The following is a 25,335-nucleotide window of genomic DNA, read 5'->3' as shown; positions in this document are numbered from 1 at the left end:
TAAAATTTCATATAATTGTCAATGTCATGAAATATTATTCTTTTTTCAACCATCTAAAAATATAAAAATCATTCTTAGCCTGTGGCAACTAGCAAACAAAACCAAGCAGTTGGTTGGGTCTGGCCCATAGGCTGTAGTTTGCCAAACTTAAATCCAAAAGGATCATAAATTAGCAAGAGTATTTTGTGATAATTTTTAGCTAGAAGAAATGTAGTGAAATAGAAAAACCAGTTTATGCTGAACACACATTTTAAAGAAAACAAAGTGTTTCTGTGTGACTATTTCATATACTATTGCAATTGGATGAAAATTGTAAGAATTACCATTTTTCTTTCAGTTTTCAGATCATGAGCATATCTCATTAATTCACCATACACTCTGTGCGCCATTTCTTCTGCTACAACTTCTCGCTGTCCTGCATAGTCATTTAACTCATTAAGGATATTAAAAAAGGCTACACACGAGGTAAACCTGGCAAAAACATTTCAAAATGGTGAGACTTACTTTTATTTTCATTACAAATGTTGGTGAGGTATGGACTGAATCTAACATTTCGCAAATTTTAGCATATTCAACCTAAATCTCAGCTACTAGTTCTAAATTAACTTCATATGGAAAAAAATCCTGCATTAAGCTCAAGTCATACATGTTTGTATATCTTCAAGTAGTCTTTCATTTATTAGTAAAGGGATATTTGGGGTCAAAAAATAATAAGAATACTACCTGCAGGCTCTTTTGGCATACTGGAATCTCTTAAGTTGCCAACTGACTGGCCTGAGCTTGGGAATGAACTTGGTTGGATTCCTAGGCTTGGTAGCTGAACCTGTTGCAGAGATGATGTGCTTGCCAAATGCATCTCGATGGCTGATCTACAGAACAATTTTGCTATCAGCTCTGGACACAGCTGCCTGTATGCCTGCCCATATCCTGAATGGAAGTGAAGTGCCATTATAGTTGACACCAAAGCGGGTAAAGGGTCAAAAATAAGGGTAAAAACGTGTGTGAGGGAAGGAGAGAAACAAAGAGAATCACTGTATTAATGTATATATCTACTTTGAACATACTGCGGAACACTCTCTTACAGATGAAGATTAACAGCTCAGATAGGACTCCATTAACACTAAACCTGAGAATCCTAACAACTGACAATTATATACAGAGTTGTTTGTTTAAGTCGAGTCTCCTCTTGTTTCTCCATCTAAACAGTCATCCACATATTCCTCTTTAAGACCACAAAAAAACTCATAAGTGATTTCTAACCTTTTAATTTATTTCTAATGCAAAAACTCTCAGTGCTTTTCAACATCCCTTTATACCAATCAGTCAAATTGTTTTACTATCTATAAGAGTAAAAGCAAGAATCTACGAAGCCAACAACTACACAACCAAGTATGAAAAATATCCTTTTCTTCTGCAGACTAAATCATTCAAGTGGAGTCCTAGTCTACATTTTAATTGAAAATCTGTATCTGACTATTCTAGAAAACTGTTGATCAAGCCCACTACAGTATTTATCCTCATAAAAGATAAACAGTAGTTCCTTCTTTCATAAACATTAATTTTTAAATTAAACTTTATAAAATCTTTATAAAAAGCTAAGAATATATCTTACTAAATAATAAAAATATAAGTATTTTTAAATTTTTTAATATGCATTAATGAACAGGTATGTAATTTACCGTGGCTCTTCATCTTTGGATGAACGTTTGGGGCAGTACTTCTTAACCAGATTTCTATAGGAAGAAGATTTTTTAAAGTTTATTAAAAATTTCAACTATTGTTACAATTGAAATAGTCTAAGTTTTCAATTTCATTCAATCATGAATTTTATGATATAAAACAATTAAGACAGCAATATGATCTCTACTCCATTAGCATCATAATATGTAATCATTACTTACAATTTGTTCTTAAAATACTGATACCTGGAGAAAGAAAGGTTATTTCTGTATTTTCATATGAATGGAATCACAACAATTTGGTTGATGTTACTATCAAATAAGAAAATAGTTAAGAGGAAGAATAGAAGAAACAAAGTACAATTGGCCCTCTGTATTCCAGGGTTCCACAACCACAGATTCAACGACGGGTCAAAAATATTCAAGTAAGTAAATAACAATGGAGCTATAAAAAGTAATACAAATTAAAAAACCAATAGAGCCTAACAAGTATTTACATAGCATTTACACTGTATTAGGCATTCTAAATAATCTAGAGATGATTTAAAGTATGGGGAGGATGTGGGTAGGTTATAGGCAAATGTTATGCTATTTTATATGAGGGACTGAGAGCATCTTTGGATTTTGGTATTCATGGGTCTGGGAACCAATCCCCCTCAGGAACAATTACACTCAGTATGTGAAACTGAGTCAGGGCAAAAAGAAACATTTCAAAGAAATACCATCGCTTTTTTTTCACAAATTGAGGACTTTAATACTAAGGTAAAATGTAAGCAGATGCTGACTCAAGGAATAAAAGAACAGTTTGTCACCATCTCCATAACTCCACTTTTACATGCAAATCATTATGTGACTCCTTACCCTTCTCTTTTCTAGACAAATGAATTATATTCTGACTTGTAACTGTTTTTTGCCTTCATCCATGTCTGTTCTTAACATTCTTATAGTAGAATGCTACCTTATTTCATCTTTTCAAAATCAGAAAGAGACTAGCATATGGACTTTGGAGCCAGAATGGACTACCTTTGTTTGAATCCTGGTTGGCTGGTTTGTTGGTTGGTTGGTTGGTTGGTTGGTTGGTTGGTTGGTTTATTGAGATGGAGTCTCACTGTGTCGCCCAGGCTGGAGTGCAGTGGGGCGATCTCAGCCCACTGAAACCTCTGCCTCCGGGGTTCAGGCGATTCTCCAGCCTCAGCCTCCTAAATAGCTGGGATTACAGGTGCATGCCACCACACCCAGCTGATTTTTGTATTTTTAGTAGAGATAGGGTTTCACCACATTGGCCAGGCTGGTCTCGACCCCTGACCTCAGGTGATCCACCTGCCTCAGCCTCCCAAAGTGCTGGGATGAGCCACCATGCCCAACCTGAATCCTGGCTTTTATGTAGTACCTATGTGACCTTGGACAATTTGCCTAACTTCTCTGTCCCCTCATTTCCTATAAATGGTGCAAACAGTACCTACCCCATACAGTTACGAGAAATAAATGATATAAAGTGCTTTATACCCTGAGTCTCAAAGTATGGTCAACCTGGGTCCAGCAAGGGTCCATAGACTCTTTGGTAATAATCTACAATGAGATAAGTACAGAAGTTGGGAATAATTGTATTTCTTTTGAATCTAATAATTAAAAATTAGGGCCTATATTTTCTATGTCTCTTTTATGTCATGTTTCTAGTATTTAATTTTTATTGTTTACAAAAGCATCAGTACACAATGGATTGGAAACTAAAACTGGTCCATCATCGCAAACAATTTGAGATGCACTGCTTAAAACTATAAGCAGTTTTAAAGTAAGTGGCCATACTATCTTTCAATACTATAAAAGAATCACTGTCTTAATTATTCTCAGATTAGTATCAATTAATGCCACTTGAATCAATTTATTCATTCTACAAATTGTCTATTATGTGCTAAGCACCATGCAAACTACTAGGAGCATCATAAATAAAAGAGGACCCATGAGCAGGAGACTTATACTCTATTGAAAGGAGACAAGTATATACCAATAATTGTAATATACTGCATGGTAAGTGCTATGATAAAGATACACAAAGAAAAGGAAGACCTAACACCCAGTGAGGGGTGGAAAAAGAACAGGCAAGACACTGAGAAAAGAGTTCAGATCAACATGTATTGAGTTCCTACCATCAAGAAACCCATAGTTGCCACTGATTATAAAGTTAGGGACAAGATGAAAGCATTAGCACTTCACTCACTCTAGGGTGCAACCATAGCTCACTGTAGCCTCAAACTCCTGGGCAAGATCCTCCTGCCTCAGCCTACCAAGTAGTTGGGACTACAGGCACACACCATCATGCCTGACTAATAATATTTACATATACTTTTTAAAGAGACAGGGTTTCACTATGTTGCCCAAGCTGGTCTCAAACTCCTGGCCTCAAGTGATCCGCCTGCCTTGGCCTCCCAAAGTACTGGGATTACAGGTGTGAGTCATCCTCCTTGGCCTTCAAAGTTTTGCTGATATTTAATATGTCACTACACTAATACATGTACATAATTTACAAACTGTGCAGTCATATGCTCAAACATTTTTTACAGGTGAGCAATAAAAAGTTCAGAGATCTCTGGTCTAGAGAAATCAAATATATAGACACTCTTACATAACATAATATGGTAAGAACAATAGAGGGCTCTGTAAAGAGGGTTCCCCAGGGGTAAAAAGCTAAAATTTCTGATTTGCTGACTAAGCCTAAAGAGATAAACAGGAATTGGGCAACTGGAAACCCCTGGGGGAGGATTCTGCTCATTAGAGAAGATCTAATGAGCAAAGACAAAGAAGTGGGGAAAAACAGAGCATTTAAGAACTGTAAGTGGGTTCAATGTTGCTGGAACATCAAATATGAGCTAGAGAATTGCAAGTAGTAACGTGAAAAGTAAGAGGGGAACGAAGCAGAGACCCTTCTAAAGTCATATGAAGGAACTCTGAATAAATACTCTTGACCAGTGGTTATTAATCCTGGTTACCCAAACACTAACAAAACTCACTGTTATGAATGATTTACTAATTCACCCAAATATCAGCAAAGCTACTATCTGCTATAAATTAATTATTTCAGATACTAGACTGACAGAAAGAATGGGACGAGTCATGGTTAGCAAACTAGTAATTGGGCATGACCTACAGTCCTTTCTACAAAAGAACTCAAAAAGGAAGAAGGGGAAAACATGATCAACAGAATAATTCACTAGAATAGGCAAATTCAGATACAGAAAATAGATAACAGTTGCTAGCACATGGAGGAGGAGGAAATGACTGCTAATGGGTACAGGGTTTTCTTTTTGGGATGATGAAAATATTCTAAAATTCAATTGTGGTTATGGTTGCACAACTCTGTAAATACACTAAAAGAACACTCAAGTGTAGACTTTAGCAAATGAATCTTATGGCATATGAATTATACCTCAATAAAGCTTCTATAGGAGGAGGAGTGGCAGTTGCATAGGCAGTCCATCTGCCCCAGGTACCTCTATTCAACAAGTCTAAAATGAAATTTATCTACTTTTTAATCTTCTTTTACATACCTCTTTTCTTACATTAGTGGCACTACCATCCATCTAGAATTTAGACATTTAAGCCAAAAATTTGACAATCATCCTACACTTTCTCCCACCTTAACATGTTCAATCCCTACAGATTCTATTTCCTAATTAACTTTGTTAAAAACAATAATTTTTATAATAAAAAGGAAAAAATACACAAAGAGAAGCCCTGTCTTGTGACTACTTTATAAAATTGTTTTGTATACAGATGTGGGAGGACAGGCTGCTGGAAGCTACCGTAATATCTTGAAACCATAAGGGGAAAGACCAAGAGATGTACGAAAATGCCCTAACTTCATCACTGAGCTCTAGAATGCCGTTTCCAAATTTGTTGTATAAAATGACTCTATTACGTGAAGCTGAATGCTTCTTAACTGACACTATAGAAGAGTTAAATAAAAATGCCCAGTAGAGATATATAGTAAAAACTAGAACTCTAAAGAAACTTCTGGGATCACGATGCAGATATGAGGGTAAACATTTGTAAAGACAATAACAGAAACAAGGAGTTACCATTTGTCATACATGTATTACTTGACATTACCATTTGTCATCCATGTATTACTTGCCAATCTTAATGCTAAACTCTTTATATATAATCTTATGCTTACAACAACTGCAAGCAGATATTATTAGCCTGACTTTACAGGACTCAGACACATTAAGTGACTTGCCCACAGTCAAACAGCCAGTAAGTGACAAAGCCAAAACCTTCCTCAAATCTGATGCCAACACCAGAGATGGTTAAAATAATGAATGTGAATGAGGCTACTGAAGAAGTATGAAATGAAAGGTAGCTAAAGACCATCTACAAACACAAATTTAACAGGGAAGGAAGAAGAGTTGCTTCAGAAGAACAGTAAGGATGAACTAAGCTAGGAAGATTACAGGTAAACAAACTATGTCCCACTACCTATTTTTAAAACAAAATTTTATTGGAATGCACTACACTCATTCATGCATGTATTGTCTATGGCTGCTTTTGCATTACAACAACAAAGCTGAGACAACCAAATTGAGTAGACATATGGGTAACAGAAAACCCAAGAGAAGGGATTTTTTTAAAAGATGTTCTCAGACAAGCCAGGTGAGGTGTCTCACGCCTGCAATCTCAGTGCTTTGGGAGGCCAAAGTGGGAGGATCCCTTGGGGCCAGGAGTTCGAGGATGCAGTGAGCTATGATCGTTGCCACTGCACTCCAGCCTGGGAAAGAGAGTGAGACCCTGTCTCTTAAAAAAAAGAAAAAAAAGAAGACACTTAAGACATTTTGGGAGGCCAAGGCAGACAGATCATTTGAGGTCAGAGTTTGAGACCAGCCTGACCAACATGCTGAAAACCTGTCTCTACCAAAAATACAAAAAAATTAGCCAGGCATGGTGGCGCACTCCTGTAGTCTCAGCTACTCGGGAGGGTGAGGTATGAGAACTGCTTGAATCCGGAAAGCGGAGGTTGCATGCAGTGAGCTGAGATTGTGCCACTGCACTCCAACCTGGGCGACAGAGCAAGGCTCTGTCTCAAAAAAAAAAAAAAGGAAGAGGAAAAGAAGAAAAGAGGAGGAGGAAGAGGAAGAACAGGGTGAAGAAGAAGTTGTTCTAAGACAGAAACAGTCTATTATCATCAAAGATAATAAAACAGGTACCTAAAATATCCATGGAATTTAGCAATTACCAGGTGATTTAACGGTGTGGTTATGACAGGCACAGTCTCCCACCTACAAATGGGGTTGTTTTCTAGAAATTACTTTTAAGTTCAATGGTTTTGAAGCACAAACTCATGAACTGCATTAAACAAGTCAAATTTAAGCAAAAAGCATTTCATAGAGTGAGTAGTTTCAAAGATTGACTACTTTTTTTTTTTCTCCTGCCTCAGCCTCCCTAGTAGCTGGGATTACAGGTGCCCACCACCACGCCCAGCTAATTTTTTTTGTATTTTTAGCGGAGACGGGGTTTCACCATGTCAGTCAGGCCGATCTCAAACTCCTGACCTCACCTTAGCCTCCCAAAGCGCTGGGATCACAAGCGTGAGCCATCGTGCCCAGCCCAGGATGTCATTTTTCAAGTGTTCCCTTTCAGTTTATTAGTGGTCAAGGGACAAGCCAAAGCAGATGATGGACAATTAAGAAGGTGGGGCTTTAGAACACAAAGCTTGCCAGAACTCCTGTGGGTGGAACTTGAATGTATTGAGTCACCGTAAGTGGACAAGGAGGGAGCTTTTAACAGGTAAAGGGGGTATAGCTCAGGTGGTAGAGCATTTGACTGCAGATCAAGAGGTCCCCGGTTCAAATCCGGGTGCCCCCTTCCAGGATGTTTTCTCACTTCCATTTTAAAGTAGATACTGCCAGCCACAGTGTCAACAGAAAAGATGAGAAAACTTTTTTTTTTCCCCCTTGACACAGTACTCCTTTAATCCCACAATGCTCTGTGGTAATTTTAAATCAGATACACTGAAAGGCTATTAACTTTTACAATAATATTGTACAATTAAAACTATATATGTAAATCCAAGAGACTGGAGGAGTCTACATATACTGAGTTTCTGATTTAACAATAACTGATGATTTTTATATAATTGAGAATAAATCTTTATCAGATGATGAGACTCATAGAGGATAATAGGTCAATTATTATGGTAATTTTTAAAATCTCTTTTTATTATTATTATTATACCTTAAGTTTTAGGGTACATGTGCACAATGTGCAAGTTAGCTACATATGTATACATGTGCCATGCTGGTGGGCTGCACTCACTAACTCGTCATCTAGCATTACGTATATCTCCCAATGCTATACCTCCCCCTCCCCCCACCCCACAACAGTCCCCAGAGTGTGATGTTCCCCTTCCTGTGTCCATGTGTTCTCATTGTTCAATTCCCACCTATGAGGGAGAATATGCGGTGTTTGGTTTTTTGTGCTTGCGATAGTTTACTGAGAATGATGATTTCCAATTTCATCCATGTCCCTACAAAGGACATGAACTCATCATTTTTTATGGCTACATAGTATTCCATGGTGTATATGTGCCACATTTTCTTAATCCAGTCTATCATTATTGGACATTTGGGTTGGTTCCAAGTCTTTGCTATTGCGAATAATGCCGCAATAAATATACGTGTGCATGTGTCTTTATAGCAGCATGATTTATAGTCCTTTGGGTATATACCCAGTAATGGGATGGCTGGGTCAAATGGTATTTCTAGTTCTAGATCCCTGAGGAATCGCCACACTGACTTCCACAATGGTTGAACTAGTTTACAGTCCCACCAACAGTGTAAAAGTGTTCCTATTTCTCCACATCCTCTCCAGCACCTGTTGTTTCCTGACTTTTTAATGATTGCCATTCTAACTGGTGTGAGATGGTATGTCATTGTGGTTTTGATTTGCATTTCTCTGATGGCCAGTGATGGCGAGCATTTTTTCATGTGTTTTTTGGCTGCATAAATGTCTTCTTTTGAGCAGTGTCTGTTAATGTCCTTCACCCACTTTTTGATGGGGTTGTTTTTTTCTTGTAAATTTGTTTGAGTTCGTTGTAGATTCTGCATATTAGCCCTCTGTCAGATGAGTAGGTTGCGAAAATTTTCTCCCATTTTGTAGGTTGCCTGTTCACTCTGATGGTAGTTTCTTTTGCTGTGCAGAAGCTCTTTATTTTAATTCGATCCCATTTGTCAATTCTGGCTTTTGTTGCCATTGCTTTTGGTGTTTTAGACATGAAGTCCTTGCCCATGCCTATGTCCTGAATGGTAATGCCTAGGTTTTCTTCTAGGGTTTTTATGGTTTTAGGTCTAACGTTTAAGTCTTTAATCCATCTTGAATTGATTTTTGTATAAGGTGTAAGGAAGGGATCCAGTTTCAGCTTTCTACATATGGCTAGCCAGTTTTCCCAGCACCATTTATTAAATAGGGAATCCTTTCCCCAATGCTTGTTTTTCTCAGGTTTGTCAAAGATCAGATAGCTGTAGACATGCGGCGTTATTTCTGAGGGCTCTGTTCTGTTCCATTGATCTACATCTCTGTGTTGGTACCAGTACCATGCTGTTTTGGTTACTGTAGCCTTGTAGTATAGTTTGAAGTCAGGTAGTGTGATGCCTCCAGCTTTGTTCTTTTGGCTTAGGATTGACTTGGCAATGTGGGCTCTTTTTTGGTTCCATATGAACTTTAAAGTAGTTTTTTCCAATTCTGTGAAGAAAGTCATTGGTAGCTTGATGGGGATGGCATTGAATCTGTAAATTACCTTGGGCAGTATGGCCATTTTCACGATATTGATTCTTCCTACCCACGAGCATGGAATGTTCTTCCATTTGTTTGTATCCTCTTTTATTTCCTTGAGCAGTGGTTTGTAGTTCTCCTTGAAGAGGTCCTTCACATCCCTTGTTAAGTTGGATTCCTAGGTATTTTATTCCCTTTGAAGCAATTGTGAATGGGAGTTCACTCATGATTTGGCTCTCTGTCTGTTGTTGGTGTATAAGAATGCTTGTGATTTTTGTACATTGATTTTGTATCCTGAGACTTTGCTGAAGTTGCTTATCAGCTTAAGGAGATTTTGGGCTGAGACAGTGGGGTTTTCTAGATATACAATCATGTCGTCTGCAAACAGGGACAATTTGACTTCCTCTTTTCCTAATTGAATACCCTTTATTTCTTTCTCCTGCCTAATTGCCCTGGCCAGAACTTCCAACACTATGTTGAAAAGGAGTGGTGAGAGAGGGCATCCCTGTCTTGTGCCAGTTTTCAAAGGGAATGCTTCCAGTTTTTGCCCATTCAGTATGATATTGGCTGTGGGTTTGTTGTAGATAGCTCTTATTATTTTGAAATACGTCCCATCAATATCTAATTTATTGAGAGTTTTTAGCATGAAGGGTTCTTGAATTTTGTCAAAGGCCTTTTCTGCATCTATTGAGATAATCATGTGGTTTTTGTCATTGGTTCTGTTTATATGCTGGATTACATTTATTGATTTGCGTATATTGAACCAGCCTTGCATCCCAGGGATGAAGCCCACTTGATCATGGTGGATAAGCTTTTTGATGTGCTGCTGGATTCGGTTTGCCAGTATTTTATTGAGGATTTTTGCATCAATGTTCATCAAGGATATTGGTCTAAAATTCTCTTTTCTGGTTGTGTCTCTGCCCGGCTTTGGTATCAGGATGATGCTGGCCTCATAAAATGAGTTAGGGAGGATTCCCTCTTTTTCTATTGATTGGAATAGTTTCAGAAGGAATGGGACCAGTTCCTCCTTGTACCTCTGGTAGAATTCGGCTGTGAATCCATCTGGTCCTGGACTCTTTTTGGTTGGTAAGCTATTGATTATTGCCACAATTTCAGATCCTGTTATTGGTCTATTCAGAGATTCAACTTCTTCCTGGTTTAGTCTTGGGAGAGTGTATGTGTCGAGGAATTTATCCATTTCTTCTAGATTTTCTAGTTTATTTGTGTAGAGGTATTTGTAGTGTTCTCTGATGGTCGTTTGTATTTCTGTGGGATCAGTGGTGATATCCCCTTTATCATTTTTTATTGCGTCTATTTGATTCTTCTCTCTTTTTTTATTAGTCTTGCTAGTGGTTTGTCAATTTTGTTGATCCTTTCAAAAAACCAGCTCCTGGATTCATTAATTTTTTGAAGGGTTTTTTGTGTCTCTATTTCCTTCAGTTCTGCTCTGATTTCAGTTATTTCTTGCCTTCTGCTAGCTTTTGAATGTGTTTGCTCTTGCTTTTCTAGTTCTTTTAATTGTGATGTTAGAGTGTCAATTTTGGATCTTTCCTGCTTTCTCTTGTGGGCATTTAGTGCTATAAATTTCCCTCTACACACTGCTTTGAATGCGTCCCAGAGACTCTGGTATGTTGTGTCTTTGTTCTCGTTGGTTTCAAAGAACATCTTTATTTCTGCCTTCATTTCGTTATGTACCCAGTAGTCATTCAGGAGCAGGTTGTTCAGTTTCCATGTAGTTGAGCGGTTTTGAGTGAGATTCTTAATCCTGAGTTCTAGTTTGATTGCACTGTGGTCTGAGAGATAGTTTGCTATAATTTCTGTTCTTTTACATTTGCTGAGGAGAGCTTTACTTCCAAGTATGTGGTCAATTTTGGAATAGGTGTGGTGTGGTGCTGAAAAAATTGTATATTCTGTTGATTTGGGGTGGAGAGTTCTGTAGATGTCTATTAGGTCCGCTTGGTGCAGAGCTGAGTTCAATTCCTGGGTATCCTTGTTGACTTTCTGTCTCGTTGATTTGTCTAATGTTGACAGTGGGGTGTTAAAGTCTCCCATTATTAATGTGTGGGAGTCTAAGTCTCTTTGTAGGTCACTCAGGACTTGCTTTATGAATCTGGGTGCTCCTGTATTTGGTGCATATATATTTAGGATAGTTAGCTCTTCTTGTTGAATTGATCCCATTACCATTATGTAATGGCCTTCTTTGTCTCTTTTGATCTTTGTTGGTTTAAAGTCTGTCTTATCAGAGACTAGGATTGCAACCCCTGCCTTTTGTTGTTTTCCATTTGCTTGGTAGATCTTCCTCCATCCTTTTATTTTGAGCCTATGTGTGTCTCTGCACATGAGATGGGTTTCCTGAATACAGCACACTGATGGGTCTTGACTCTTTTTTTTTTTTTTTTTTTTTTTGAGACGGAGTCTCGCTCTGTCGCCCAGGCTGGAGTGCAGTGGCGGGATCTCGGCTCACTGCAAGCTCCGCCTCCCGGGTTCACGCCATTCTCCTGCCTCAGCCTCCCAAGTAGCTGGGACTACAGGCGCCCGCCACTACGCCCGGCTAATTTTTTGTATTTTCAGTAGAGACGGGGTTTCACCGTTTTAGCCGGGATGGTCTCGATCTCCTGACCTCGTGATCCGCCCGCCTCGGCCTCCCAAAGTGCTGGGATTACAGGCGTGAGCCACCGCACCCGGCCGGGTCTTGACTCTTTATCCAATTTGCCAGTCTGTGTCTTTTAATTGGAGCATTTAGTCCATTTACATTTAAAGTTAATATTGTTATGTGTGAATTTGATCCTGTCATTATGATGTTAGCTGGTTATTTTGCTCATTAGTTGATGCAGTTTCTTCCTAGTCTTGATGTTCTTTACATTTTGGCATGATTTTGCAGCAGCTGGTACTGGTTGTTCCTTTCCATGTTTATTGCTTCCTTCAGGAGCTCTTTTAGGGCAGGCCTGGTGGTGACAAAATCTCTCAGCATTTGCTTGTCTGTAAAGGATTTTATTTCTCCTTCACTTATGAAGCTTAGTTTGGCTGGATATGAAATTCTGGGTTGAAAATTCTTTTCTTTAAGAATGTTGAATATTGTCCCCCACTCTCTTCTGGCTTGTAGAGTTTCTGCTGAGAGATCAGCTGTTAGTCTGATGGGCTTACCTTTGAGGGTAACCCGACCTTTCTCTCTGGCTGCCCTTAACATTTTTTCCTTCATTTCAACTTTGGTGAATCTGACAATTATATGTCTTGGAGTTGCTCTTCTCGAGAAGTATCTTTGTGGCATTCTCTTTATTTCCTGAATCTGAATGTTGGCCTGCCTTGCTAGATTGGGGAAGTTCTCCTGGATAATATCCTGCAGAGTGTTTTCCAACTTGGTTCCATTCTCCCCGTCACTTTCAGGTACACCAATCAGACATAGATTTGGTCTTTTCACATAGTCCCATATTTCTTCGAGGCTTTGTTCGTTTCTTTTTATTCTATTTTCTCTAAACTTCCCTTCTCGCTTCGTTTCATTCATTTCATCTTCCATCGCTGATACCCTTTCTTCCAGTTGATCCCATCGGCTCCTGAGGCTTCTGCATTCTTCACGTAGTTCTTGAGCCTTGGTTTTCAGCTCCATCAGCTCCTTTAAGCACTTCTCTGTACCGGTTATTCTAGTTATACATTCTTCTAAATTTTTTTCAAAGTTTTCAACTTCTTTGCCTTTGGTTTGAATGTCCTCCTGTAGCTTGGAGTAATTTCATCATCTGAAGCCTTCTCTCAGCTCATCAAAGTCATTCTCCGTCCAGCTTTGTTCCGTTGCTGGTGAGGAACTGTGTTCCTTTGGAGGAGGAGAGGCGCTCTGCTTTTTAGAGTTTCCAGTTTTTCTGCTCTGTTTTTTCCCCATCTTTGTGGTTTTATCTACTTTTGGTCTTTGATGATGGTGATGTACAGATGGGTTTTTGGTGTGGATGTCCTTTCTGTTTGTTAGTTTTCCTTCTAACAGACAGGACCCTCAGCTGCAGGTCTGTTGGAGTACCCAGCCGTGTGAGGTGTCAGTCTGCCCCTGCTGGGGGGTGCCTCCCAGTTAGGCTGCTTGGGGGTCAGGGGTCAGGGACCCACTTGAGGAGGCAGTCTGCCCGTTCTCAGATCTCCAGCTGTGTGCTGGGAGAACCACTGTTCTCTTCAAAGCTGTCAGACAGGGACTTTTAAGTCTGCAGAGGTTACTGCTTTTTGTTTGTCTGTGCCCTGCCCCCAGAGGTGGAGCCTACAGAGGCAGGCAGGCCTCCTTGAGCTGTGGTGGGCTCCACCCAGTTTGAGCTTCCTGGCTGCTTTGTTTACCTAAGCAAGCCTGGGCAATGGCGGGCGCCCCTCCCCCAGCCTGGCTGCCACCTTGCAGTTTGATCTCAGACTGCTGTGCTAGCAATCAGCAAGACTCCGTGGGCGTAGGACCCTCCGAGCCATGTGCGGGATATAATCTCCTGGTGCGCCATTTTTTAAGCCTGTCGGAAAAGCGCAGTATTCGGGTAGGAGTGACCCAATTTTCCAGATGCCGTCTGTCTCCCCTTTCTTTGACTAGGAAAGGGAACTCCCTGACCCCTTGCGCTTCCCGAGTGAGGCAATGCCTCGCCCAAGCAGGGCTCGTGCACGGTGCGTGCACCCACTGACCTGCGCCCACTGTCTGGCACTCCCTAGTGAGATGAACCCGGTACCTCAGATGGAAATGCAGAAATCACCTGTCTTCTGCGTCGCTCACGCTGGGAGCTGTAGACCGGAGCTGTTCCTATTCGGCCATCTTGGCTCCTCCGATTGACTACATTTTATATATCAACATTTTAAACATTGTTTAGGGTCCCAGTCTGTAGGGGACACGTTTTACCTACCTGTATCACTACCCTTCTTTTGTAACAGCTTGTGGAAATGCATTTCTGTTCATCAAAAAGCCATGTTATTTCACACACTTTCCAGCCCCCTAACAGTTTGGTAGAACGACGTGGCCAATTCTGCATGGGGCTATGAGCTCTGTGTAAGTACAGGCTGAAGCATTTAGAGCTTGTGTACAACCCTCTGGGCTCCCTCATTCTCTGCTGAAGCAACTGTGGAGGTTGAATGATGAGATGAAGATAAGAACAGTATGGATCCTCGAGTTACCACATGGACTGTCTGAACTTGTAGCTGACTTTGCATGATTAAGAGTGTTAATAAATGTTTAGTTATGTTTAGTCCCTGGGATTTGGAATTTATCATTCTAGTATAGCCTAACATATCCTAAAATACAGCTCCTCCACTGTCATGCCTATGAACCTGTGGTCACGGTGACCACATATTAAGGTCCAGGAGTATTTATTTGATCCAGGTCCATTAATCTAGGCCAATGAAAGTCAATCCTAAAATTTCTGTTGTAATTCTTAGGAAGGCATGCTCTCTTTCTGCTGAAGCTGTTAAATTGATAGGACATAATCTTAAAGCCACGGAAAAAGAGCCTACTGGGAAATTAAACCAACACAGAGAAAAGCAAAGCCAAGAAGAAAGATCCTAAACACTTCTCTAAGTACCTGGATCCCTAAATTTTTCCCTCAAATAAGCCAGTAAATTCCTTTCTTTGTTTAAACCAATCTGAGTTAGGCTTCTGATACTTGGAAGAATTATGAGTACTACAGAGGGTAACCATAGAAGTCTTTAATAGCTTAAACATCACATAAATAACACTAATTTGAACTCTAGCTTCTGGGAGGAAGAGCACATGTAACACAAGAGGTAAGGGGAAGAGGAAGAAAATAACTGTATTTTGAACATGCAGGGTAGTCCTAAGCAATTTTAAAAATAAATTCCTCTTGCCTCCCTGTATGTAAAACTCACACATCTATAGGTGACTCATCCCAAACCCCAATATCCTGAGCCCTCAGATGCCATACACAGGTCACTAAAGACTCCATTCAAGCCAACCCTGCAACCTGAAAAACTACAGCACTGTCCACAAAGTTCTTCTCATTTTCCACCAAATCCAAATTTCTAGGAAAACATATGCTCTGAAAGAAGACACATCAATTTATTATTTTGAGACAGGGTCTCACTCTGTCACCCAGGCTGGAGTACAGTGGCACAATCTTGGCTCACTAAAACCTCCACCTCCTGGGTCAAGCAATCCTCCCACCTCAGCCTCCCAGGTAGCTGGGACTGCAGGCACATGTCACCGTGCCTGGCTAATTTTTTTGTCTTTTTAATAGATATGGGGTTTCACCATGTTGGCCAGGCTGGTCTTAAACTCCTGGACTCAAGCGATCCACCTGCCTCCACCTCCCAAAATGCTGGGATTATGGGGGTTAGCCACCGCCCCGGCTAACACACCAAATTATTAATAGTACTCACTTCTCAGGAGAGGAACTGGGAAGGGACTTGAATTTAAATGTTATAATGATCATATAATGCTTTCATAATTTAAAAAAAAAAAAAAAACTAGGCCAGGGGTGGTGGCTCACACCTGTAATCCTAGCACTTTGGGAGGCCGAGGCAGGTGGATCACCTGAGGTCAGGAGTTCAAGACCAGCCAGGCCAACATGGCAAAACTCCGTCTCTACTAAAAATACAAAAATTAGCCAGATGCGGTGGTGTACACCTATAATCCCCGCTACTAGGGAGGCTGAGGCAGGAGAATCGCTTGAACCTGGGCAGCGGAGGTTGCACTGAGCCAAGATCGCACCACTTCACTCCAGCCTGGGAGAAAGCGTGAAACTCCGTCTCATAAATAAATAAATAAAACTAATAATAAAAATATACAATAAGAATTTATTCTTCCGAAGCAGCTGATCTCATTTGGGCCTTCTGAAAAAACAGTCTAAAGTCAACAAAAAGTCATACAAAGGCATGAATGGTTAAGTAAGTCCCGCAAATCCCTGCTTTGCAGTTTTAACACAATATGCTTATTAGCTCAAATAAATTTTAATAGGTAAGTGCAAAGCATTCAGGTTGTTCCTAAACTAAAAATATTTTAGACAATTCATCTAGTTTAAGAAATCTGCCCTTAATGTTACTTCCCCTAGGCTCTTTTTCTGTTCACCCCTCTCTAAATCCAGGTTTTCCACCAATTATGATAGCAGTTTATGTGTAAGACATGTTTTTAGTATGTTGTCATAAATCAGGAGCTAACTGAAACACAAAGTTTTATACACACAGTACATATTACAGAAATTATAATAGATTCCATAGATATGCTGATACATTGTTTGGGGGGGTGGGGGAGGGAGGGACGGAGAGAAAGAGAGAGAGAGAGAGAGAGAGAGAGAGAGAGAGAGAGAGAGAGTGTGTGTGTGTGTGTGTGTGTGTGTGTGTGTGTGTGTGTGTGTGTGTGTGTTCCATGTTTTTCTATGTACTTTGGCTTCATGCACTCTGGATACAAAAGAAATTAATGTTGTTCCTTCAGTTGTCAGAGAAGGCTTCTAAATTTAGTGGGCATCTCTAAAGATTATAGTAGTCTATACATATTAGTTATATATGTGATATTAAATATATCACCCTTTTTAATATATATTTAAGTTGTTGATTCTAATCTTTTTATCCATTCTAGTTTTGTCATGTTTATATTTACTTTTGAGTTTCAGTAAAAATTACAAAATATTCCAAATACTTTCTCAAAATATTAATTCACTTCTATTAAAACATTTTGCAGCTAAGTGCCAGAATGTGAACTATCTCAAAAATCTTAAAAGACTGAGAATCACCTCTATACATTTTCAACCTTTCAATATTTGAGAGGCTGAGTTCTAATCACTGTTTAAGAGGTGATCAATATCCTATTTATAAAATGGAATATAAATCATACCATTTCTTCCAGCAAAGGGTAATATTAGAGACCTGAGACTCACTGACTAGTACCCCTTTTCTTAACTTACTTAAGAGCTGCCAGATTAACACATATGGCCCAAATTTGTGGGCTCAGTTAAGTGACCCAACGATAGAAAACAAAATAGCTGGGCCAACGAGATCCCTTTCTGAAAGTTGTAAGACTTTGGATCTGACACAGCTTTGAGGCCAGTATGGGAGCTGAATCTCTAAGACATAAAACTGGCACTGTTGATGACTGTATTTCCTGCCACATGGAGAAAGCCAGTCTGCACTAAAAGAATAAAGCCACCAACCCACCAAAAGAAGAAGAAGAAGAAAAGACAAAGGGCTTTGGCGGTGTTTCAGATACTGTCCTTATTTTTTTCTGTGACCTAGCTGTAGACCAAGCCTTCTAGCAGTATGACTATTCCACTTCTTGAACTCAATAAAAAATTAAAATCAATAAATCAATAAATTTATATTGTAAATAAATTTCTCATTATACTTAAATTAGCTCAAGCTGGAGTTCCATCACTTTCGGCCACGAATCTTCTCTCTTATAGTAAAAAAATTAAACATAAAAGGTATCCATTGCAAAAGAATGAAGCTGGGCCAGGCATGGTGGCTCACGCCTGTAATCCCAGCACTTTGGGAGGCCAAGACGGGTGGATCACAAGGTCAGGAGTCCGAGACCAGCCTGGTCAATATGGTAAAACCCCGTCTCTACTAAAAATACAAAAATTAGCTGGGCGTGGTGGCAGGTGCCTGTAGTGCCAGCTACTCAGGAGGCTGAGGCAGGAGAATCATTTTGTAAAAAGTAAAGTAGAGGTTCCTCTTCAAAGACTTTCCTCCCCATCTAATTAGGAATAAATAGTAGCTTCTCTTAGAAGCAAAATTTATTTAAAGACCTGTGCTAACATTCTTAAATATCTGCTAGCCGTAATAAGGAAATCAACATTACTTTATGCTCTTAGCTCCCACAATTTAGCCTAAATATTTACCCTAGCGTGCTTATACTGGTCCAAGCAAGCATTAGGTCATAGCCTGTTCCTCTTCCTTATTTAAAAGTGTTTTTACCTTTCTCAACATTCCACAAGTTACTTCCTCCTTCCTTTGTTCCCCTCTACCTTGGCCTCTTTTTACAAAGTTCTAAGTTGCTAGCCAATCGGGGTGAGGTCCCGTTCCAGCCAATGGAAACTGGACACAGCAGTAGGGTGGATGCCTCAGGTTATAAATGACCCTGTCTCCTTTGTTCGGTGTACTCTTGTGGCACGAGTGTACCCTTTCTGCAGGAAGTAAAAATGGCCTTACTAAATAAATTTATGTTCAAGTGCTATTTCTTTACGGCTCCGAGGAACAAACATTTCAAACAGCTTGAACCCAGGAGACGGAAGTTGCAGTGAGCCAAGATCGCGCCACTGCACTCCAGGCTGGGCGACAAGAGTGAGACTCTGTCTCAAAAAAAAAAAAAAAAAAGAATGAAGCTGGACCCTTTTAACACATACAAATATTAACTCAAGATGCATCAAAGACCTAAAACTATGAAACTGAGAAGAAAACATAGGAGAAAATCTTTGTGATACTGGATTTTGCAATGATTTCTTGGATATGACACAAAAAGGCAAAAAAAATAAAAATAGATAAACTACATCAAAATTTAAAACTTCAATGCATAGAAGGACACAATCAAGAGAATGAAAAGGCAACCTATAGAATGGGAGAAAGAATGTGCAAATCATATATCTGGCAAGGGGTTAATATCCAGAATATACAAAGAACTCCTAAAACTCTACAACAAAAAAACAAGTAACTCAATTTTAAAAACTGACTTGAATAGACATTTCTCCAAAGATACACAAATGGTCAGGGAAATGCAAGTCAGAACCACAGGGAGATAACAACTCACACCGATTAGGGTGGCTACTTGCAAAACAACAAGGATGTGGACTAACTGGAAGCTTTGTGTATTGCTGGTGAGAATGCAAAATCTTTCAGCCGGACAAAAGAGTGACACAGAAACCAAATTCTGATAAAGAGGTATGAGAAAAGTAAAATGAGATAGAGACTATGTATTAGTTCGTTTTCACGCTGCTGATAAAGACATACCCGAGACAGGGAGGAAAAAGAGGTTTAATTGGAATTATAGTTCCACATGGCTGGGGAGGCTTCAGACTCATGGCGGGAGGTGAAAGGCACTTCTTACAGACTAGCTATATTTGGATTGCTCTGTATCTAAGCCTACCCGAAATATTTAGGACTGTTCTTAGCAGACACAATGATGTACACAACACCAACTTAATGACCACATCACAATGATGTACACGACACCAAACTCCAGTATTAATAGAAAGCTGCTATGTAGTCAAAGGTTCAGCATGTGGTCAGAAATCCTAATTTCTAAACTAAACTGAAACACAGATTATTTAATTATTTATTCATTCAACTTAAATTTAATCACCCAGTTCCAGAGGTACCAGGTAGGCTTGGTATGGGGTAGAGAAATGCACATAATATAATCTCTGATCAAAGGAATTCAGAGATGTCTGCTTGCCAAAATAAGAGTAGTTTGTGCACTTCCTGTCTTCCAGCCTAATTCTCTTCCACTATACCATACTGCCACATCTGAACCAAAAATTTATGTATGCTCTGGGGTGGAGGCTGGGGAATATAATTTCATACAGCACTATCTCTATGATAGAACTTAATACAATTACTTTTACTAGAAAAAACTAAAATGATACAAACTTATCACATATATATGGCTCCTTTTTTTACTTAGAAATCTTAATCTGTTATACAAATACAATGTTTATTAAAAGAATGACTGATTTCAGTTGCATATCTTTGCAAACAAAAAACACTCTACCAAGTGATCTGAAGTAACCATTTTCCATCAATCAAAATGGACATGATTCAATTGCATATAACTATGTCTCCAAATGTAATTAGATGCTTTATTTTCTATTTATTCCCATCCTCAAACCAAAACCAAAAATCAATATCAAACACCAGAATAAAGTTAAACCAACACCATCAAAACACAACAACAGAAGAGTAAAGGGAGAAAAGATTAAAACAATCTGGAATTACCAAAGATTAAGAAATTTTAATCTTGTAATATATTTAAAATGTAATTGCTTAACATCAGGAATATAGTTGATATGATTTGGCTGTGTCCTTACCCAAATCTCATCTTGAATTACAGTTCCCATAATCCCCATGTGTCATGGGAGGGACCAGGTGGAGATAACTGAATCATGGGGGCGGTTTCCCCCATCTTGTTCTCACAACAGTGAGTTAGTTCTCACGAGATCTGATGGTTTTACAGTGGGATTCCCCCTTCGCTTGGCACTTATTCTTCTCCTTCCACCATGATTATAAGTTTACTGAGGCCTCCCCAGCCATGCTGAACTGTGAGTCAATTAAACCTCTTTCCCTTATAAATTACCCAGTCTCAGGTATGTCTTTATTAGCAGCGTGAGAATGGACTAATATAATATTATTTAGGAGAAAAAAAAAAGTGCTGCCTCACTATGAAAGAAATTATCCTCTGCACTAGCAAAAATAAGGGGAGTTAACCAAAAGAATTTTTCCCATTAAAGAGGAGGAAACAAACAAGGCAAACCTCTTCCCTTTGGATAAAAGACATACTATAAACAGCAGCTGATAATCCAATCATTTACTAAGTAGTCATCCAAAGCAGCAAATCTCAATGTAGATCATTTCAAATTAAACATGCCTTCTCTCAACTCTTCATTACTCCTCATACTTCAACACTCCAATAATTCTGCCCTTGTTGAGAATCGCTGCTATTGAGAATCATCCTTAGAATGGAAATGTGCCAAATTCCTTAAGTGTGCTTCATTCCTTCAAATCACCTTTGTAAAGCATCAGTACATAATAAAACCCACTTTCTCAATACAAAATTCTACTTTTCATATCATGAAGTTGTGGGTTCTAGCCACCCTTGTTTCAATGAACTGGAGCTCAAATCCCTTTTTTGCAAGTAAGTGAAAATTCTAATGGTTATTATCAGTCTCAGAACAGAGAGAAGGCAAACAAGTCTGCCATTTGATTAGATGAGTCCTGTTACACTAGCAAAACCCTGGCCATCTCAAAAGCTTTGAGGTCTAAGTTGTCCTGGACAGTTAAATATTCCACATTACTGAAGTTTTTTTTAATCTTATAAATTATCAATTTTTATTTTATAATTTGTGATAGGAATCTCTTTTGAAGCATATCCTCTTCTTAACAAGTGTTTTAAATTACAAAAGTAATACACAATCATTGAAAAGACTACAATTCAAAAGTGTATGAAATAAAAAGTTCCTTCCCTTATCATTCCCTACTCTGGTTCCACAACGGTAATCATTGTAACATAATCTGGGTGTACTCTTCTAGACCTCTTCAGAATACATACAAATTTTATATGTAACTGTATATACAAACACAAGTAAGCAATAAAATCATGTTACTGTACATTCAGTTCTTACTGCACATTCATCATTCAACCTGATGAATAAGGCTTTTAAATTTTAAAATGCTGGTACACCTGATTTTTTTAAAACTTTATCTACCACAGTCTTTTTCATCATTCTTCTACTGACAGGCACTTTTACAACCAGAAACTTTTTTTTTTTCCTGCAATGAAGAGTTTTGTGCAAACACCTTTGCTCACTTGTATTTTTCTGCAGGAAAGTTTAGAAATGAAAATGCTAGATTAAAGGACAGATTAGACTTTTTAAACATTTTGAGAAACACTGTTATATTCTCTGCCTTCTTTAAAATAATCTGATTATTTTCTTGAAGGTGCAGGATCATTCTTACCAGTATTTACTTTTTCACTCTGTATAATACAGTGATTCTCTTGGGGCCCTAGAAGTAGATTCACTTCTCACTATGGTTTGGATATGGTTTGTTTGACCCCAACCAAAACTCATGTTGAAATTTGATTCCCAAAGTGGTGGTGTTGGGAGATAGGGCCTAATGGGAGGTGTCTGGGTCATGAGGGATCCGCCCTCATGGATAGTGGTTTGGTGTCATTTTTGGTAGTGAGTTGCGTTCTCACTCTAATAAGACTGGATCACTTTTTGAGAGTGGGTTTTTAAAAAGTCAGTTTCCCTTCAGGTTTTCTTTCTCTCTTCATACATCCACGCTTCCCCTTTGACACATCAAAACCCTGTGCCAGAAGCCGGGGGCATGCCTTTGAACTTACCAGCCTGTACAACCATTAGTTAAATAAACCTTTTTTCTTTATAAATTACCCAGACTTAGGCATTCTGTTATGGCAACATAAAATGAGCTAGGGCACTCCTGCAGTAAATTTCATCTATTTTTGTAATTTTTAAACCTTTTCCTTTATTGTTTGTCCCTTCACACTGCCATCACTGTATTACCTATAGCACTTTTTCTCATTTCTATTGGAAAAACTGAGAATTTTCCAATAGAAATCTGAGAATTTAATGTGCTAAAATTGAGATCAAATTAAAATTTAAATAGAATTTTTATTTGCCACACAAGAATACATCTGGTAGCTGCTATTTTAATCTCTCAGAGGCCATTTCATGCTCTCCTAGATTCTAGAGAGGTAAGTTTCCCAGATCATTAACTTTTGGACAGATGAAACATCATCACTGTGATTATTAATATACTAATAGGCTCCCTGTTTATACTCTCATGTGGAAAATACCTTGTTTAAACAAACAGGAGGGAAACGGATTAGGAAATTAGCATAATGCCATTATTCAGTAAATATAATAGTGTTTATCATTATAAAAATATTATAAGCAAGCTTTTTATTACTCTAGTCTATTCCATCCCTACATCCAGTCAGTTGGTTACATGCACTATTATGTGGATATATGAGGCACTCAAGTAACTCCCCCTTCCTTCTGGGACCACTAGTTTAAATTAATTTTAAGTAACTATCCTTCCCCCATCATTAGCTATAAGTCAGTATTAGTAAATTGTTTAGGATAAACACATAACCTAACCAAAGTCAGTATGACTAAAGGAGACCCTCTGCTAGTATTTCTGGAGAAAAGAAGCTTGGTGCAGGCTTGCATTTTCCCTTACTTCCATCCCTCTTCCTCTTCTTCCATTCCCCCACTTCCTCTTTCCCTCCCTTCCTTTCTCCCCAAAGGTACAATAGAGAAGACCATCATTCTTCTCCAGGATATGGGGGTATGAAGATGTAAAACCTAGAGCTAAACGAACACGGAGGATGGTATGAATGGAACCTGAGAATAAAAAGAACAAGAGGGAGCACAGCCAAGAAATGGGGCCTGAAGATTATTTGACCCCTGAATCAAAATATGCCTGGACTTTGTAGTCATGTATGCCTGTTTAGGTTGGATTTTTTGTCACTTCAGGACACTTTTTTATCCTAAACCCTACAGCTAAAACTTTATACTGGTGTCTAGTCTTCAGACTTCAAGCACCATTTTTACTGAATAAGTTCCAGCAACTACTTGTCAACAAAGTCCATTAGTTTTAAGACTAAAATTTTCTCTTTAAAACTTTTATCTTCCAAAACATATTCTAAAATCACATTCATTCATAATATGTAACTGAATACTGACAGAAAGAAACTCAGCTCAGCACACACTCTATTTCCAAGTCTTACAAACTCTGAAGAAAAAAACTCTGAAGAAATATTCAATACTTTGAAAAGATGACTAAAGCAAAAAGTTAGAGAGGAATAAAAGTATAAAACACAGAATAACACGCAGATATTTCTTTTTCCCGGCATTTTGCTCCCCAGTTTTCAGATTTTTAAGTGTCTTTCTGGAATGAAAGCTATTTGTGATCCAGCTAGTCAATATTCCTTGTGGTACTGTACTAGCCAATGACTTAATTAATCATTAAAACAAACCGGTTACCTAATTCAATCTAATTCTGATGAAAAACATAGAATTTAACCTCTGGACTATCACATTCCTCTAATATTCAACTGTTTAAACATGTAATTTCATTCTAAAAACTGAAAAAAAAATTAACTTACCTCAATTGTTTCGCATAGTTCTGTTCAATTTCTATCCTCTCTTTAACAAATTTGGCATATCTTTCCAAGAAGTCAATTCCCCATTGTGTATGCTTGTCTAAGCTGTCGAACTGATCCTGGAAAAGGAAGATAAAAATGCATTTTCAAAAGTCTAAAATTTTATCCACAGATATTTTTAACAGCTTCTGGTATTTGTACAGAGAAGCAATGAGGTATAAAAGGAAAAACCCAGGCTCTTCTACTAGCTCCCCCACTTCACCCTTTAAGACCTAGAAATAGGTCGTCCCTAAGCATAAATCATGCTACTTTATGTCTGAACGTCTTTACAAACATGGCTCTCCCAGTTGCAACACCCTCCCCTGATCAGCTTTTTGCAGTCAACTCTTCCCCAAATCCCCCCTATCCTGGCCTTTGAGATTCTGTTCAGGCATTATGTCTGCCAGAAAATGGTCCTAAACTCTCAGACTTTCTCCAGGTCCCCAAGCCTCCCTAAAATTACTATCTTATTCATTTGCTATACTATATTGAGGGCCAGAATCATGTGTCATTCAACTCTGAACCCCCACAGCCTAAGCACCATGCTTGGCACCATAGCAGGTACTCAGTGAAGAATTATTTAACTGGACAAAATCAAACATACCTGAGTTCAAATTCTGGGATCTGCCATTTCCGAGATGTTTGAAACTGGGCAAGCTAACAAGGCTCCTTGAATGTTTTCCCATCTTAAAATGGAAGTCCCATCACCCACCTAAATAGGACTGTGGTGATGTTATTAAACATGTTCTGCAATGCAGGAAACATGATAATGACATATAATAGAGTACCACTGTCCTACAAGGCTCTTTCAGTTCTCAAAGATGCCACCTCCTGCCACAGAAACCATCATTTCCCTTGCTTTAAGAACAAGCTCCAAATTGACTAATAACTTGGTGCTGTCTCCCCCTCTTATATCAAGTCTGCAATGCTGAAAAAAATTCAAGTATCATCCCTTTCCATAATTACAGGTTGTTTTAAAATCACTTGTGGTTTAGTCACGTTATTTACAAACAAATTATCTCCTTTTGCCTTTTATCTCTTTCTCTACCTTAAACCATCAAAAAAAAT

The 25,335-nt window shown here is 38.7% G+C and overlaps 1 protein-coding gene and 1 non-coding gene across 4 annotated transcripts in view; one reads left to right on the top strand and one right to left on the bottom strand.

The window, feature by feature from the left end:
* Window positions 1–25,335, bottom strand: part of FNBP1L (formin binding protein 1 like) — a 106,544-nt gene that overhangs the window by 30,847 nt on the left and 50,362 nt on the right. For all 3 annotated transcript variants that reach the window (NM_001164473.3, NM_001024948.3, NM_017737.5), the window contains exons 2-4: window positions 24,232–24,347; window positions 1,680–1,733; window positions 324–471 (exon numbers count right to left, since the gene is read on the bottom strand). In NM_001164473.3, coding sequence (NP_001157945.1) covers window positions 324–471; window positions 1,680–1,733; window positions 24,232–24,347 — 318 coding nt within the window. The remainder of the gene's footprint in view (window positions 1–323; window positions 472–1,679; window positions 1,734–24,231; window positions 24,348–25,335) is intronic.
* On the top strand, window positions 7,466–7,538 carry TRC-GCA7-1 (tRNA-Cys (anticodon GCA) 7-1). Its single transcript has one exon. It is a non-coding gene; the product is annotated as a tRNA-Cys (tRNA).

Source organism: Homo sapiens, chromosome 1 (genome assembly GCF_000001405.40).
Source record: "Homo sapiens chromosome 1, GRCh38.p14 Primary Assembly".
Classification (NCBI taxonomy): Eukaryota; Metazoa; Chordata; class Mammalia; order Primates; family Hominidae; genus Homo; species Homo sapiens.
Note: the sequence above shows the minus strand (reverse complement) of the source record. Positions and strands in the feature narration are given on the sequence as shown.